The 19,695-nt window shown below is 40.0% G+C and overlaps 1 protein-coding gene across 8 annotated transcripts in view; it reads right to left on the reverse strand.

Moving 5' to 3' along the window:
- The window catches only part of ZNF124 (zinc finger protein 124), a 50,405-nt gene extending 31,500 nt beyond the window's left edge, over positions 1-18,905 (reverse strand). For 2 of the 8 annotated variants that reach the window (NM_001243740.3, NM_001297567.2), the window contains exons 1-3: positions 18,374-18,546; positions 6,213-6,339; positions 5,532-5,592 (exon numbers count right to left, since the gene is read on the reverse strand). In NM_001243740.3, the coding sequence (NP_001230669.1) occupies positions 5,532-5,592; positions 6,213-6,339; positions 18,374-18,403 (218 nt within the window). In that variant the 5' untranslated portion in view covers positions 18,404-18,546. Of the gene's footprint in view, positions 1-1,514; positions 3,930-5,531; positions 5,593-6,212; positions 6,340-18,373; positions 18,547-18,883 lie in introns of those variants that run through there. The other 6 variants (XR_001737398.3, XR_007063653.1, XM_011544272.4 and 3 more) reach the window with 6 other exon arrangements.

Consider the following 19,695-nt stretch of genomic DNA (forward strand, 5'->3'; position numbering starts at 1 on the left):
CTCTATTATGATTGGTGAGTCATCTGCTATTAGATTTCTGGATGTGAGCACATCACATAACTAGTCTTTTCCTTTCTTGCTGTAACAATTGCCTTATAACATTTCGGATTTCTACTCATGTAAAGTTACAGGTTTCAGGTACTATCTCTACCTGGAAACAGACAGTGTAGACCATCTGTGTGATTAAGGGAAAGAGTTCAGAACCCCAGCAACCCACAGTGGAGAAAACCACCTAAGCCTCCAGTGAGGGCTACTAAATCTTGCTGAAGTTAGCGTCCATAAGAAGGTCATTTTGTCTAAGTTCATCAAGTCTTGTGGTCACAGGATTATATCTTTAGAATGCTGGTGAGCAGCCATGCTAACGAAAGCCCCCTTTGGCTAGGAGTTTAGTACTGGGAGGGGTACTGGGAGAGGATAATATAAAGTGATTATTTCCCTTGTCTTTGCTCATCTGCACCTAAATCATGAGGATCTATGGATATGCACCTCATCAGAAGAGTGCACATAACAGCAGCAAGAGAAAAAGCAGCACAGAAAACACAAGGTCACTATGCTTTCCTACACAACAATCACTTGTCAGGCAACTGTCTGAGATACCTAATTCTCCCCAGAGTGGATGTCTCCTTGTACACGCATATGTGTGACACACACACACACACAGATATAAGTTGGCTCCGTGTCCCCACCCAAATCTCACCTTGACTTGTAATAATTCCCACGTGTCAAGGGCAAGACCAGGTGGAGGTAACTGAATCATGGGGACGGTTTCCCCCGTGCTGTTCTCATGATAATGAGTGAGTCTCATGAGATCTGATGGTTTTATAAGAATCTGGCATTTTCCCTGCTTGTACTTCTCCTTCCTGCCACCTTGTGAATTTGTGAAGATGCCTTGCTTCCCCTTCACCTTCTGCCAGGACTGTAAGTTTCCTGAGGCCTCCCTACCATGCTGAACTGGGAGTCAATTAAATCTCTTTCCTTTGTAAATTGCCCAGTCTCAGGAATTTCTTCATAGCAGTTCAAGAATGAACTAATAAACTACATATATATGAAATAACACTATATAGTATATAGCACTATAAACTATGCTAGGGTACTCAAATTTCTTTCAATATAGATGCAAAATGTCTCAAAAGATGCTACAAAACTGAATTTACCAATATATAAGAAGACTTACACTTCATTACCAAGAGAGATTTAACCCCCCAAAAAAGCAATGTTGTTTTTGCATCTAAAAGTCAATTTGGCTGGGCACAGTGGCTCACATCTGTAATCCCAACACTTTGAGAGGGCAAGGCAGGAGAATCACTTGAGCCCAGGAGTTTGAGACCAGCCTGGGTGACAAAGTTAGACCCAATTTCTTATTTTAGAAAGTCAATTAATGTGATATACCATGTTAACAGAATAAATTTGAAAAACCACAAGATCATTCCAATAGATGCACAAAAACCATGAGAAAAACTTCAACAACACTTGACAATGAAATATTCAATAATAATGAACAGCAGGAAACTTTCTCAACCTGCTTTAAGGAATTTATTTTAAAAACCCTCAGCTAACATCATACATGATGATAAGACTGGATGCTTTCTTTCTCAGATTAGACACAAGACACTGTTCGATCACAGGTCTCTCTCCTTAAACCAATGTTACCTATGCAAATAGCCAAAAATAATGACAATGTAAAGAACAACAGATGAAAATAATAATTCACGTGAGAATATACTCTATAATAAACTTTACATACTTACAAATTGACAGCAACTCTATTAGCAAAGAAAATAGACTCATTTATCAATGGCCAATTAATAACAAAATAATTAAACTACACAGAAGTTAAACCTACAAATACATTTCACACATCTACTGTGTAACCCACAAAATTTTTAAAAAATTTTAAAAATATTTTATACTTTAAATATTTAAAAAATATTTTTTAAAATGGCTATGCAAGAAAAAAGGAAAAGAAATACATTTCAATTTACCCATATAACCAACACACTTTAAAATGGGTAGAAAAAGGAAATTTATTTACCAGCTTAAAAAAGAAGAATACATATTTAACTCTTGTACTACTGCTTGAAGAATACTTACAGAAGTCTTGCCTCAGCTGGGCGTGGTGGCTCACGCCTGTAATCCCAGCACTTTGGGAGGCTGAAGCGGGCGGATCACGAGGTCAGGAGATTGAGACCATCCTGGCTAACACGGTGAAACCCCATCTCTACTAAAAATACAAAAAATTAGCTGGGCATGGTGGCAGGCACCTGTAGTCCCAGCTACTCAGGAGGCTGAGGCAGGAGAATGGCGTGAACCTGGGAGGCAGAGCTTACAGTGAACTGAGATTGTGCCACTGCACACCAGCCTGGGCGACAAAGTGAGACTCCATCTCAAAAAAAAAAAAAAAAGTCTCACCTCAATTTTTTTTTTTTCAAAAGAAGTGAAAATCTATATTCTAGAGACTCTCTTCAAAAATGAGCAACCAATATATTCAATTTATTTATAGCTCCTAAAACATCTCATTCACATAGTGAATTTTCTTGAGAATTGTACTATAATTATTTTCCATAAGGTTTTCCATAATATTTACATTTACAGGATTTATTTCCAGTGGGAGTTTTCACATGACCTTTAAAGTAATTGTTAAAATTCAGAATTTTCTGTATTTCTAGGATTTCAATCTGGTGGGCATTCTTTTATTTATAAGGTCAATCTGGAGTATGTGTTACCATGTGTCTCTGAGTGAGTTATAGGATAAATGAAGGCATTCTCACATTCGATACCTTCATAAAGTTTTTCTCTAGAATGAGTTATGTTATACCATCAAATACCACTGGAACAACTGCAGGCCTTACCACATTTTAAACATTCATATGGATTTTCTTCAGTGAGTCCTTTCAAGTTTTCAAAAAGAAATGGAAAAATTGAATGCTTTACCTTATTGCTTATAGTCATAGGGTTTATCTCCAGTTTGATTCGTTTCATGTATTTGAGGAAATCTGGGAAAATTAAGTACTTTCCTACACCTTACATTCACAGTTTCTCTCAAGTATGTGACTGTTCATGTTTTTGACAAAAACTGTAGTGATTAAAGCCTTTACATTTTTTTACATTTATAGGGCTTTTCTCCAGTATGAGTTTTTTTATGCTTCCAAAGGGTACTAGCACGACTAAAGGCTTTGCCACATTTCTGACATTCATAGGGTTTCTCTCCAGTATGAGTCCTTTCATGGTCACGAAGGGAACTGGAACATCTGAAGCCTTTACCACAATTGTTACATACATAGGGTTTCTGTGCAATATGAGTTTTCTCGTGTTTCTGAAGGGAACTGGCGTATCTGAAGGCTTTCCCACATTGCTTACATGGATAGGGTTCTTCACCAGCATGAGCCTTTATATGTCCTTGCAAGGAACTGAGACAACTGAAAGCTTTGCCACATTCCATGCACACATAAGGTTTCTCTCCAGTGTGAGTTCTTTCATGGTAATGAAGGCAATTGGAGTAACGGAAGGCTTTCCCACAGTGCTTACATTCATAGGGTTTCTCTCCAGTATGAGTTCTTTCATGGTCACGAAGGTGACTGGAACGACTGAAGGCTTTCCCACATTGCTTACATTCATAGCGTTTTTCTCCAGTGTGAATCCTTTTATGTCTATTAAGAGAACGGGAAAAACCTAAGGCTTTCCCACATTCCATACATTCATAGGGTTTCTCTCCAGTGTGATTTCTCTGATGTATCTGAAATGAACTGGGAATATTAAAAACTTTCTCACATATTGTACAACCATAATGTCCATTTCCAGTGTGCATTACTGTGTCTCTGTGAACCCTTGTGACAGAAAGGGAAGTTTTCTGACATTGTTTACATGTACATGGCTTCTTTCCGCATTCCTCACACCCATATGGGTTGTTTCCAGAATGAGATATGATGTGCCTATGAAGGGATGAATGACGTATGAAGAATTTTTCACACACAATGCATTCATGTGGTTTTACTCTAGCAGGAATTTTTTTGTTCAGATTAAAATTTGGCATCTGGAGGTTTTTCTACACTGACTTATTTAATTTTACACAGTATGTCTATCATATGACTTCTGCAAAAAATGACAACCCCATCATTAATGGTTTATTAGTTATTTTCTTTTATTACTAAGTCTGAACTTACACTGCTACCAATATCAGAGAAAGTGCAGGTTTTCTAACATAAACAAATTGAACATAAATGGATTGATTAGTCTACAACATGGCTCCCTCCCCTATAGCTATTAACAATACAGTAATATTCTCATATGCAGTTTCTTAGTATTGAATACAGTTTGGGTATTTTCTCCCTTCAAATTTCATGCTGAAATTTGATCCTCATGTTGGAGGTATGACCTGGTGTGAGGTGCTTGGGTCATGGGAGCAGATTCCACATAAGTGGCACTGTTGTGGTAATGAGTGACTTCTCGCTCTATTAGTTCCTGAAAGATCCGATTGTTAAAAAAAAAAAAAAAATGGTCGGGCATGGTGGCTCACGCCTGTAATCCCAGCACTTTGGGAGGCCAAGGTGGGCAGATCACTTGAGGTCAGGAATTCAAGACCAGCCTGGCCAACATGGTGAAATGCTGTCTCTACTAAAAATACAAAAATTAGCTGGGTGTGGTGGCATGTTCCTGTAATCCCAGCTACTTGGGAGACTGAGTCCGGAGAATCACTTGAACCCGGGAGGCGGAGGTTGCAGTGAGCCAAGACTGCACCACTGCACTCCAGTCTGGATACCAGAGAGAGACTCCATCTCAAACAAAACAAAACAAAACAAAAAAACCCCAAAAACTTTGGCACTTCCTTTCTCTCTCTCTTGCTCCTTCTCTCCCCATGTGACATGTCAGCTCCCCTTCCCCTTCTGCCATGACTGGAAGCTCTCTGAGGTCCTCATCAGAAGCAGATGCTGGCTTTATGCTTCTGATAAAGCCTGCAGAACCATTAGCCAAATAAAACTCTTCCTTATAAATTACTCAGCCTAGGTATTCCTTTATAGCAATGCAAGCAGACTAAAACAATACTGTTTTCAAGTGAACTATTTTGCAAACATTTAACATCCATGTTACATTGAAGTATATATTTTTGGTAAAAACTTTGAGAATAAATTGATGTTGTCTTAATTTATTTTGTTTGCTTGGTTTTTTTTTTTCCCCGAGATGGTGTTTTGCTCTTGTTTCCCTGGCTGGAGTGCAATGGCACAACCTCAGCTCATTGCAACCTCCGCCTCCCAGGTTCAAGCAATTCTCCTGCCTCAGCCTCCCAAACAGCAGGGATTACAGGCATGCACCATCACACTGGGCTAATTTTGTATTTTTAGTAGAGACGGGTTTTTGCCGTGTTGGTCAGGCTGGTCTCAAACTCCTGACCTCAGGTGATCCGCCCACCTCAGCATCCCAAAGTGCTGGGATTACAGGTGTGAGCCACCATGCCTGGCCTTGTTTGCTTTAAACATATGATTATATACTACAATTGACCCCAAGGGGGACTGCTTCCTCTTGTGAGGGCAAATTACCTTAGATTTCTTGAAGAATTTTTGTACTGATCTTCAATGCTCTGGTCTTCCCCTTTGTTTCCTAAAATGTAGACCCAGAAATATATTACAAATTATTTGAAATTATAGAAAAATTACTAGACTCTAGGTGCTATGTTGGGGATATGGTTTGTACCCACCAAAATGAATGCTGTAATTTGGTCATCAATATGGCAACATTGTTTGTGTTATGGGTACAGATTCCTTATTAATAGATTAATGTCCTTGCTTGGGAATGCATGTTTTCTCTTACTCTTGCAAGACTGAATTAGTTGCCAGAGGGCAGGTTGTTATAAAAGCAAGTTTAGCTCCCAAGAATTGCTCTTATTTTCTTGCTGTGATCCCTTTGCACATGCCCACTTGCTTCTGCTTCATGCCCTGAGCTGAAGTAGCATCAGGTCCTTACCAGATGCAACCTTGGACTTTCTAGCCACTAGAATCATAAACCAATATAAAACTATTTTTGTAAATTACCCAGGATCAGGTATTCTGTTATCACAATTAAAAAATAGACTAAGAAACAAGAGTCATTGCACACTGGGTCCATGCCTCATTCACTCATCAAAGTGTTCCCTTTGTACATTCCAAATCATGGAATGACATTGAAAACCATGAAACACTTACTTTCTGATTGACTAAGTGAAGAAATATTGTGATTCTTACCTATGGAAGCCAGATTCCTGAAGGTTTCCTGCATCACGTCTCTATAGAGATTCTTCTGGGAAGGATCCAACAAAGCCCACTCCTCCTGGGTGAAGTTCACAGCCACATCCTCAAAGGCAACCGAGTTCTAAAATATTCCACATTTTTGTAGAGGATGGATGAGACTGAAAGCACTGGAAATCTGTAGTCAATTTATAAGATGTTCATCTGATTCTGTGGCGAACATTTATTCTACTATTTGGTCACTAGAACTATGACTCTGTCTACACTTCCTTTCTCCCACATAGCAGTTCTTTTTTTTTTTTTTTTTTTTTTTTTGAGACGGAGTCTCACTCTGTTGCCAGGCTGGAGTGCAGTGGCACCGTCTCAGCTCACTGCAATCTTCGCCTCGCAGGCTCAAGTGATTCTCCTGCCTCTGCCTCTCAAGTAGCTGGGACTACAGGCACATGTCACCACGCCCAGCTAATTTTTGTATTTTTAGTAGAGACAGGATTTCACCATGTTGGCCAGGATGGCCTCGATCTCTTGACCTCGTGATCTGCCTGTCTTGGCCTCCCAAAGTGCTGGGATAACAGGCGTGAGCCACCGCGCTCAGCCAGCAGTTCTTATGCTAAAGTTGAACTGTTCAGCAAGGCAGCAGCAGAGAAGGAACACCCTTCTTGTTGGTGGGTCCAGGGAGTAATATTTGCTGTTATGATTTTTCTTTATAGCATATACCTGCAGTACATATCATATCAAAGTCTTACTATCTGGTGTGCATAAGAGAGTTAATATGAGCCGTCACAAGACTACTTACCCTTAGAAATACCTGCTACAAAGTTCAACCTTTGCTGGTATGAGGGAACTTACATTTTAAGAGGCATCCCAACAACCTAAGTGATAAAAGTAGCTCACTGTTGCTAAATAGTTTATCTAAACAATCTGGTATTTGCTGAACCCCTGTTTTCCTTCCAAAAGTCTATTATTTTGTTTTATTGTAGCAGTGGTGCCTAGGGGGATCAGCCTCAATAAACAAACAAAAACACACTCTGAGCACTGAGTATCTGATGAGCTTCCCTGGTAGATAATATTTCATATATGATGTCACAACTTTTTAATTGGGAAATTGAGCCCAATCCACGTGGTTACACAAAGAGAAAATGTGTAGAAGCTTATAAGTGCTTCACTCAAGCCCAAATTTAATCAAGAGGTAATTAACACTAATAATCAATATTCAATAATCCAAAAATAATTATTTTACAATTTCTACTGAAAAATGTCAAAGCAGAATAGAATAAGTGAAAAGGCATGCGTTCAAAGAAAAAAACTCAATGTCATCTAGATGTCACCTCTTACAAATGATATTTATGTAAAATTTCATAGATGCCTGAAACAGACTTTCTAGCAGTTCAGCAGAAACTACTTTTCAAAACCTACAGAAATAACAAACGCCTAACAACCGTCAAAGTCTTCTGAATAACAGTGTGATGGTTTGCCTAATACACATCAATGATTTTCAAATATAATATTCAGGGCAGTGTAGTATAAGCAGAGAGATAAAGAACTAGGCCAAGAGAAAGGCATATAGTCTTTAATTAGCTGGAATTGATATGGAAAGCTGACTAATAACAGAGGAGGCATTGTAGGATAGTGAAGGAAGTATCAAGCACTTTAAACATGGAACAAAGCTAACCGGTATTTAATTGGGAAAAAAATGAATTGCATTGACCTCTATTAGTTGGACAATAATCAATTTGTCATATATTCAAAAGTAAAAAGTATAAATAGACCACTTGCAGAAGTCACAGACAAGGTTTTTTTTGACATATGAATAGGAGAAAAGGAGCAAACAATAGAGACTGACAAATTCAAATATATTAAAATTAGGAGAATTAAAAGACAAAAAACAGTAAAATAAAAATCTGCAATACATGCAATATAAAAGAAATTAGTGTGCACAGTAAAAATGAATGAAAACATGATTAAAAAATGGGAAAAAAAAGCAAAAGATACATAACAAGAAAAAAGACCATTTATGGAAAGAGATCCATTTTCTTGGTAATAAAACAGCCAAATAATATGGCATATTACTATAATAATAATAGTAAATAATAGTCCACATTCTTTAGAAGAACAAAAATTAGAGAATCTCAAGTGGTGATTACCACACCAAATAAATACGCAGAAATGAAGGCCAAGGCAGTGGATATACTCCATTGCTATTTCCAGTAATTTGAACTTTACCACAATCTACAGTCCAGTAATTTTTCTCTAATGTCCAGAAAATTTATTGTGCATTATCAGAGTTTATATTCAGCATTCTTAAGGAAAAGAAATTCCAACCATGAATTTCCCATCCAGCCAAAAGAAGCTTCATAATCATTTTCAGACAAGCAACTACTAAGAGAATTTGTTCCCACTAGATCTGCCTTATAAGAGTTCCTAAAGGTAGTGCTAAATATGGAAAGATCATTAACAGCCACCACAAAAACACACGTAAGTACATAGACCAGTGACACTATAAAGCAAGCATACAAACAAGTCTGCATAATAACTAGCTAACGACACAATAACAAGATCAAATCTACACATATGAATAGTAACCTTGAATGTAAATGGGCTAAATGCCCCAATTAAAAGGCAAAATGACAAGCTGGATAGAGAAACAAAACCAATCGTATGCTGTCTTCAAGAGACCCATCTCACATGCAATGACGCCCACACATTCAAAGTAAAGAGATAGAGAAAAATCTACAACACAAATGGAAAACAGAAAAAAGTAAATCTAGGAGCAATAGGCCATACCATATAGCCTAGGTGTGTGGTATATTATGCCATCTAGGTTTGCGTAAGTACACGCTATTATGTTCTCACTATAAAACTGCCTAACAACACATTAAGCAATGTATGACTGTATATCTTTACTTATATATAAAATATATTAACCCTTGGCAAAAAAAAAAAAAAAAGCAGGGATTACTAGTCAAATTTCAGATAAAACAGACTTTAAACCAAAAACAAAAAAAGACACGGGTATTACATATTGGTAAAAGGTTCAATCCAACAAGCAGACCTAACTATCCTAAATACGTATGCACCCAACACAAGAGCACTCAGATTCATACGGCAAATTCTTACACACCTACAAAGAGACTTAACCACAGAGTTAACAGTGGGAGGCTTCAATGCCCCACTGATGGTATTAGATCATAAAGGCAGAAAACTAACAAAGATATTTGAGATCTGAACTCAACACTTCACCAAATGGACCTAATGGACACCTACAGAACTCTTCACCAAAAAACAACAGAATATACATTCTTCTCAGCTGCACATGGCACATACTCTAAAATCAACCACACATTCAGCCATAAAACAATCCTCAACAAATCAAAAGAAAAAAATGAAATTAAGGTAGAAACCAAGAAATTATTTGAAACTAATAAGAACAAACATACAAGAATCTCTGGAACACAGCTAAGGCAGTGTTAAGAGGAAATTTTATAGCACTAAATGCCCACATCAAAAACTTTGAAAAGATCTCAAATTAGCAACCTAACATTACACTTAGAGGAACTAAAGAAACAAGAGCAGACCAACCCCAAAGCTAGCAGAAGACAAAAAAACCAAAATCAGAGATAAATTGAAGAGAGAGAGAAAAAAAAGCAAAAGATCAACAACTTCAGGAGTCAATTTTTTGAAATAAGATAGATTGCTAGCTAGACTAATAAAGAAAAGGAGAGAAGATCCATATAAACACAATCAGAAGTGACAAAAAGGGTATTACCACCAGACTCACAGAAACTAAAAAAAAAAAAAATCCCTCAGAGGCTATTATTACAAACATCTCTATGCATACAGGCTAGAAAACCTAGAAAAACGAATACATTCCTGGAAACAAAAAACCTCCCAAGATTGAACCAGGAAGAAATGGAATCCCTGAACAGAAAAATGAGCTCTGAAATTTAATCAGTAATAATAAACCTATCAAACAGAAAAGCCAGGACCAGATGGTTTCACAGCTAAATTCTACCAGATGTATTAAGAAGAGCTGGTACCATTCCTTCTGAAACTATTCTAAGAAACTAAAGAGGAGAAACTCCTTAACTCATTCTATGACAGCCAGCGTCATCCTGGCAGGCATACAACACATGGCAGGCATACAACAATGAAAAAGAAAACTTCAGGCCAATATCCTTGATGAACATAGATGAAAAATCCACAGATGTAAAATACTAGCAAACCAAATCCAGCACACACCAAAAACCTATTCCACCACCATGATTAAGTAGGCATTATCCCTTGGATGTAACATTTCAATATATACAAGTCAATAAATGTGATTCACAACATAAACAAAACTAAAAACAAAAAAACAACATGATCATCTCAATAGATGCAAAAAAAAGCTTTAAATAAATTTCAACATCCCTTCATGTTAAAAACCCTCAACAAACTAGGCATCGGAGAAACATACTTCAAAATAATAAGAGCTATCTATGAAAAACCCACAGCCAACATCATAGTGAATAGGCAACAGCTGGAAACATTCCTCTTGAGAACTGGAACAAGGCAAGGATGCCCTCTTTTACCACTCCTATTAACATACTACTGAAATAAAATGCATCCAAATAGGAAGACAGGAAATCAAACTTCTCTGTTTGCAAATGATATGATCCTATACCCCCCAAAACCCCACAGTCTCTGTTGAAAAGCTCCTGATAAACAACTTTAGCACAGTTTCAGGACAGAAAATAAATGTACAAAAATTAGGAGCATTTCTATACACGAATAATATCCATGCAGAGAGCCAAATCAGGAAGGCAATCCCATTCACAATAGCCACAAAAAGAATAAAATATCTAGGAATATAGCTAACCAGGAGATGAAAGATCTCTACAATGAGTTACAAGATGCTGCTGGGAAAAAAAAAACAAAACAAAACAAACAGAGATGATACAAATGAATGGAAAAACATTCCATGCTCATTGATAGGAAGAATTAATATTGCTAAAATGGTCCAACTACCCAAAGCAATTTAGATTCAATGCTATTCCTATCAAACTACCAATTACATTGTTCACCAAATTAGATAAAACTATTTTAAAATTCATGTGGAACCAATAAAGATCCCACATAGCCAAGCAAGAAGAACAAAGTTTGGAGGCATCATATTAACCAACTTCAAACTATACTACAAAGCTACTGTAACCAAAACAGCATGGTAATGGTATAAAAACAGACAGACTGATGGAGCAGAATGGAAAGCCCAGAAATAATGCCACACACCTACGACCATCTGATTTTTTTTTTTTTCTTGAGACGGAGTCTTGCTCTGTCACCCAGGCTGGAGTGCAGTGGCACAATCTCGGCTCACTGCAAGCTCCGCTGCCCCGGTTCATGCCATTCTCCTGCCTCAGCCTCCCGAGTAGCTGTGACTACAGGCGCCTGCCACCCCGCCCTGCTAATTTTTTGTATTTTTAGTAGAGACAGGGTTTCACCGTGTTAGCGAGGATGGTCTCGATCTCCTGACCTCATGATCCACCTGCCTCAGCCTCCCAAAGTGCTGGGATTACAGGCGTGAGCCACTGCGCCTGGCCAACCATCTGATTTTTGACAAAATCAACAAAAACAAATAATGAGGAAAGGACTTCCTATTCGATAAATGGTGCTAGGATTACTGGCTAGCCACATGCAGAAGATTGAAACTGGACCCCTTCCTTACACCATATACAAATATAAACTTTAGATGCATTAAAGACTTAAATGTAAAAATTTAAAGATAAAAAAACCCTGGAAGATAACCTAGGAAATACCATTCTGGACATAGGACCTGGCAAGTATTTCATGATGAAGATGCCCAAAGCGACTGCCACAAAAGAAAAAGTTGACAAATGGGACATAATTAAACTAAAGAACTTCTTCACAGCAAAACAAACTAACGGGATTAAACAGAGAACCTACAAAGTGAGAGAAAATATCTGCAAACTATGCATCTAACAAGGGTCTAATATCCAGAATCTGTAAGAAACTTAAATAAATTAACAAGCAAAGAGGAAACAAGAATGAAACATTAAAAAGTGGGCAAAGGACATGAACACTTTTCAAAAGATATACAAACATGAGAAAAATGAACATTATCACTCATCACTAAAGAAATGCAAATTAAAACCACGATGAGATACCATCTTATACCAGTCATAATGCTGTTACTAAAAACTCAAAAAATAGCCTGGGCAGGGTGGTTCATGCCTGTAATCCCAGCAGTTCAGGAGGTTGAGGCAGGAGGATTATTTCAGTCCAGGAGTTCGAGACCAGCTTGGACAATATAGTGAGACATTGTCTCTAAGAAAGAATAAAAAAATTAGCCGGGCCTGTTAGCACATGCCCATAGTCCCAGCTACTCGTGAGGCTGAGGTGGGATGACTGCTTGAGCCCAGGAGGCAGAGGCTGCAGTAAGCCAAAATCGTGCCACTGCACTCCAGCCTGGGTGACAGAGCAAGACACTGCCTCAAAAAAATAATAAAGTGAAAACAAAACAAAACAAAACCAGATGCTGGTAAGGTTGTGGAGAAAAGGGAATGCTTATACACTGCTGGTGGGAATTCAATTCACTCATTTTGGAAAGCAGTGTGGTGATTTCTCAAAGAAATTAAAACAGAACTCCCATTCAACCTAGCAATCCCATTTATTGAGTATATATCCGAAGAAATAGAAATCATTCTACCATAAAGAAATATGCATGCATAGGTTCACTGTAGCATTATTCACAAATGTGTATATACCACATTTTCTTTGTCCAGTCTACTGTTGATGGGCATTTAGGTTGATTCCATGTATTTGCTATTGTGTACATGTACCCCTGAACCTAAAATAAACATTTACAAAATAAGCAGAATACATATACAATAAGAGTAAAACACATATAAAAGAAATCTGTGTCTTAAATCTTATGTAAAAAGTCTCTAAGGGCACACCAGCAAGTTGGATAACATTGATGAGGTGAACAAATGTCTAGAAACACACAGTGTACCAAGAATGAATCATGAAGAATTAGAAAATCTAAACAGACTCACAGTTATATGACATTGATGTAGTAATCAGAACCCCTAAATTGGACAGACACTACAACAAGCTACAAATGTTCTTTATAACTATTAATGCAGAAATCCTCACTTAAATACCAACAAACCATATTTAGCATCATACTAACGCAGAAATCCTCACTTAAGTACTCACAAGCCATATTTAGCAGCACAGTAAAAGGATTATACACCAAAACCAAGTGAGATTTATCCCTAAAATAAAATGGTTCAATATATGAAAAATCAATCAGTGTAATGTATGACATTTGCAAAATGACTGAAATATCGTAGCTATTGCAACGGATGCAGGAAAAGTATTTGGCAAATTATTAAGACCCACTCATGATAAAAATACACAATAAACTAGGACTACAAGGAAACTACAGTATGAAAAACCAGCACTAACATCACCATCAATGCTGAAATACCAAAACAAACAAGCAAAAAAACCCTTTTCTCCCAAGATCAGGAAAGAGCGGTAGAGAACCTCTGCTTTTATCACTCCCATTCAACACAGTATTGGAAATCCTGGCCACAGTGATCGGGCAAGGTTGCTGTACAGATTTAGCATTAATGTGCCAAATGCAGGCAACAGAAAACAGCACAGACTTACCCACTCTAACAAATTCTTCATCCTGCAGGAAACAAACTGATGTTTTGGTTAATTTTTGTAATTCACCAATTTATGTACCACACTTTTGTGTGTGGAAATGTATTCACTTTCTGTAATCATAAAGGAAGAGAGATTTTTCCTATTTCTCTTCCCTGGTAGCATTCCTGATTAAAAGCCCTAGAATTTCATTTGAAACTACCCAAAAGAAGAGACGAGACCTCAAAAAGTTACCACATACACTCAGGGGAATGAAAATAAAATATATCAAAAAAACTCTTCTAAACATTGGCTTGGGCAAAGAACTCATGACCAAGAACCCAAAAGCAAATGCACAAAAACAAAAATGAACAAATGGCACCTAATTAAATTAAAAAGCTTCTGCACAACAAAAGAAATAATCAGCAGAGTAAACAGACAACCCACAGAGTGGGAGAAAATCTTCACCAACTATGCATCCTACAAAGGACTAATATCCAGAATTCACAAAAAACTCAAATCAGCAAGAAAAAATTCCATCAAAAAAGTAGGCAAAGGACATGAATAGTTCTCAAAAGAAGATATACAAATAGCCAATAAATATGAAAAAATGCTCAACATCACTATCAGGGAAATGCAAATTAAAACCATAATGAGATACCACCTTACTCCTGTAAGAATGGCCATAATCATAAAATAAAAAACAATAGATGCTGGGATGCTGGTGTGGATGTGGTGAACAGGGAACACTTCTACACTGCTGATGGGAGTGTCAACTAGTACAACCGCCATGGAAAACAGTATGAAGATTCCTTAAAGAACTAAAAGTAGAACTACCATTCAATCCAGCAATGCCACTACTGGGTATGTACCCAAAGGAAAAGAAGTCATTATATGAAAAAAACACGGCTGGGCGTGGTGGCTCATGCCTGCAATCCCAGCACTTTGGGAGGCTGAGGCAGGTGGATAACCTGACATCAGGAGTTCGATACCAGCCTGGCCAACATGGCAAAACCCTGTCTCTACTAAAAATACAAAAAAAATTTAGCTGGGCGTGATGGTGCATGCCTGTAGTCCCAGCTACTTGGGAGGCTAAGGCATGAGAATCCCTTGAACCCAGGCGACGGAAGGTTGTAGTGAGCCAAGATCGTGCCACTGCACTACAGCCTGGGTAACAGAGTGAGACTCTGTCTCAATTAAAAAACAAACAAACAAAAACACTTGCACACGCATGTTAACAGTAGCACAATTTGCCACTGCAAAAATATGAAACAAACCTAAAATGCCCATCAACCAATGAGGGGATAAAGAAAATGTGGTGGAATACTACTCAGCCATAAAAAGGAATGAAATAATGGGCTTTGCAGCAACTTGGATGGAAATGGAGGCATTATTCTAAGTGAAGTAACTCAGGAATGGAAAACCAAATATTCTATGTTCTCACTTATAAGTGGGAGCTAAGCTATGAGGTTACAAAGGCATAAGAATGATATAATGGACCTTGGTGATTTGGGGGCAAGGGTGGGAGGGGGTGAGACTGCATATTGGGTACAGCGTACACTGATAAGGTGACAGGACCAAAATCTCAGCAATCACCACTAGAGAGCTTATCCTTGTAACCAAAAACCACCTGCTACCCCAAATGTATTGATATAACATTAAAAATTTTTTTAATTAAAAAACTAAATATATATATAAAGTGGATTTAAAATATCTACATATATTTAAAATATCCACTTCTTTCTTTGCCTCTTTGTAAATATTTTATCTTTAAAGCTCTATTGATGAAATACATTTTATGTTTACCTAAGGCACCAATAAATGAACAAAGCTTTGCAAGAGGACAGCCCAGGGAGGAGCAGCGCTAACTGGAACACAGATATGTTTGACTCACATGTCAAGTAAGACCATCTCTCAAGCAGGAGATTCCCTGGTCCCCGGTCTCCTCATTGGAGAGACCACGTACTCAAGGACCAACCTCCCAGCGCAATGCACTGTGGCCCACTGTGTGCCTAAGGTGCAGTTTGCTTGGCAGGTTTTTGTGTCATCTTCCTGGGAAGAAATTTTCTTGTTCTTTAAGGTTGTTTTTCTCCCTTCACAAGTGTGAAAGAATCCAGAGGGCAGGAATCATTTCTGTCTCTCCCTCAAAATACCAGCATTGGATTGGATGACACCAGTGTCTCTCCCAGTGTCCCCACTGTGTCCTCCCACCCCATCCTGCTCAGGGAAGTACTCAATGCCCACCCTCCCCCAGAAACCTGTGCCGTGTCCCCACTGTGCCCCAAATGCATTTTGCTTTTCAGGTTCCTGCCTCACTGCGGGGCGGGGTTTCCTTGTACTTTGGAATAGCTGTTCTCCCTTCACAAGCATGAGACAATCCAGAGGGCAGAAATTCTTTCTTCCCTCAATACCAGTATCCGACTGCCTGACCAGCATTTTGTCTCTAAGGAGTGATAACGGGGGTAAGAGAAGAAAAAAAAATCTAAGTCCTAGTGGATTAGCTTTTTAGAGGAAGAGTATAGAAGAGTATCCCAGGAGACTCCTCTCGGTCCCAGGGGATTCATGCCATCCAGCTGCTCCTCTGAGAGGCTCCACCCCTAAACCTCACCTTGTCTTCTGGGAGAAGAGGACCCAACAGCTGACATTCACTATTTATGACACTCCAAGAGACAGGGCCAGTGTGGGCACATTAGGTCATCCTCAAACAGTTTTGAACCCAGGACCCAGAAAAGACAGGAGGGTGGCTGAGGACACAACACCACGTGAAGGTTCCAAAGGGAAACCTCCATCCAAAGACGTTTGTGAGTGTGCCTAGGGAAGACAAAAGGAGGAGAGGTACAAAGAATTTTTTATAGTGGACTAGATCAGGTGATTATTCTCTGTTTTCACAAGGAATGTTCAGAAACAGCTCCTCACTGCTCAGTGAAAACATGATAAACAATTACATTACTGCATCTGGTTCAAATGCACAATAAAGAACAAATAATTAATAATGTTGTAAATTGGAGAGGTGAAGTTGGAGTTTGAGAGTATGAGGAAGAAACTGGAAATTTAGAATTTTACTGCAAGTTCTAGAAGTTAGGCTGGGGAATACGGTCATGGATTTGAGACCCTGCTTGCCTTACATTTGGGAAATGCAGGGGAAACCAGTACCCTTGTGGAAATAATTAAATAGGAAGAAATTAGACTGAAGTTGTAGCAGGGCAAGCTGCAGACAAAACCCCTCAGACACCGAGTTAAAGAAGGAAGGGCTTCATTCTGCCGGAAGCTTTGGCAAGACTCACGTCTCCAAAAACCCAGCTCCCCAAGTGAGCAATTCCTGTCCCTTTTAAGGGCTTACAACTCTAAGGGGGTCCACGTGAGAGGGTCGTGATCGATTGACCAAGCAGGGGGTACATAACTGGGGGCTGCATGCACCGGCAATCAGAACGGAACAGAACAGGACAGGGATTTTCACAGTGCTTTTCCATACAATGTCTGGAATCTATAGATAACACAACCGGTCAGGTCAAGGGTCAATCTGTAACCAGGCCCAGGACGCGGCGCCGGGCTGTCTGCCTGTGGATTTCATTTCTGCCTTTTAGTTTTTACTTCTTCTTTCTTTGGAGGCAGAAATTGGGCATAAGACAATATGAGGGGTGGTCTCCTCCCTTAAGTGATGATGGTGCCCTGAGTTCCTCACCAAGAAAACCTAAAGGTACTTCATGCCTTTCTTGTAATTAACTTGAAGGGAAAGAAAACTTAACCCCAAATCAGCAATTTACCTCTGATTACATAACCAGGAACCATCCACCTAAATAATCCGAATAACAGAACTACATAATTATAACCAATCAGTTATTAAATTGGGGTTGCTTTGGGCTGGGCGGGGTAATCCCAGCACTTCGGGAGGTTGAGACCAGAAGTTCAAGACCAGCCTGGGCAACACAGGGAGACCCCCCCCCCGCCCCACCCGATCATTAAAATAAAAAATAAATAAATTTGGTTTGTTTCCTTACACACTTTACAGAAGCCTTTCCATCAAGACCGTCCGGTGGCCCACAAACCAAAAACCGTGGCTGGGTGCTCCCCTACTCATGAATCGCTGTTTGCTCAAACTCTGTAACGCTTTAATTAAACCTCAGTTTAATTTTTAACAGGATTAAGGAGGGACTGGAAACGCCAGTGGCCACAGCTCCTCGCAGGCGCGAGCCCGCACACCGCGCTGGGCCTCTCCCCTGAGGCGCCTCGGGTCTCACTGCAGGATCCCGAGGAGCCGCGGGGCTGCGGGCGCGGGCCGGGGAGGGAAGCTGCTTCGGGCAGGACGGAAGTCGCGGTGCAGAGACGGGACCGGAGCCCGGGGTGCCGCTGCCCGCCCAGCTCTGCCGGGCGCCAGAAAGGACCGAGGGCCGCGCCGCGCCGCGCCAGCAGGGACCCGGGTCCGCCCTCGGGAGCCGACCGCTGGGAGCCCGGGGCCCGGGGCCGCCACAGCCCCTTCCCTTCTCCAGACCCCCGGCGGCGCAACTCACCATTTCCCAGCTTCCGGGGTGTCCCGACATCCTCCCTGCGAATCCCCCAGTACATGCAGGTCACAGGAGGGCCCCGGCTGCGGCAGAGCCTCCTGAACCGCCGAGAGTGAAGGAGAAGCGCAGGGCTACTGACCGAGACACGCACGTGCGGGCACGAGAGACAAAGGCCGGGCACACCCGGAAGCCGCCTCGGGTTTTCTAGCGGAGCGCCGGATTAGGCAGTCCCCGCCCCGGTGCCCCTGATTGGGTAGGGCCTCAGGCCCCGCCCCCTCAGACTCTTAGTGACAGGTGACAGCTCCCGCGCGTGTCTGAATGAGGCAGCGTTCTGGCTACAGCTCTTCTCCAAGAGGGTTTCCTCTCTGGGTTGGGACCCAGCCTTGCCTAGGGGACATTCATTTATATACACTTAACCTTGTATACAATGTTACATTCATTTGTGAATAATATATATGATATTTAAAATAGGAAACAATATAATAATAATTCTTTTAAAATTTCAGACTTATTAACCTTCATGGCCTCTGGTCTTCTGAGGAAGCAGTCTGAGGAGCCCGAGTTTTGAAAAGGGAAGCAATCCTCCAAGGCTGCGATTTCCACAGAAATCACATGTGAGCCACAGGTGTCATTTTAAAATTTCTAGTAGCAACAGAAACGAGGAATAAACAGGTAAAATTGATTGCAATACTTTATTTAACTCAATATATACAAAATATTATAATTTAAATATATGATAAATATAATATTAATGAAGTATTTTTTGTTGTTCTGTTTTTTGGTACTAAATCTTTCAAAGTCACTCTGCGTTTTAAACTTCCAGCATGTACCGATTCAGACCAGCCACATTCTAGGTGCTAAGTAGACCCCTGTGGGCAATGACTGTCACACTGAAGTGCAGTTTTGAGGGCTCTGGTTCCCCTGACCTCAGGGAGTGAAGGGCCCGAACCCCTCTTTTCTGCTAGAGGTGAGGGAATGCCCTCCTTCTGCTAACATCTCTCCTCAGGCCCAAGGGTGGCAGAGACAGTGCCCAGAGAGAGAAGTGGGCTGCAATAAAGAAGTATCTAGAGGGAGTCTACTATTTCCCACCTGCTCTTGCCAGGGGCCCAGCCTCTTCTATAGATAAGACAGTGAAAAAAAGATGAGGGGCCCCAGGAGAAGAAAACCCATGTCTTCAGATTTGTCCACAGCCTTAACCTCAGGACTTTAGATGTAGAGGGAATACATTAAAGACAAACTTCTCATTTTGCAATTTGGCTTTGGCCCTAATGGTCAGGCTGTGGTTTTCTGTTTCCTCCTGTGGTGTGGAATTTAAGTGTGTGAGTTTA

This window comes from Homo sapiens, chromosome 1, assembly GCF_000001405.40.
Source record: "Homo sapiens chromosome 1, GRCh38.p14 Primary Assembly".
Lineage (NCBI taxonomy): Eukaryota > Metazoa > Chordata > Mammalia > Primates > Hominidae > Homo > Homo sapiens.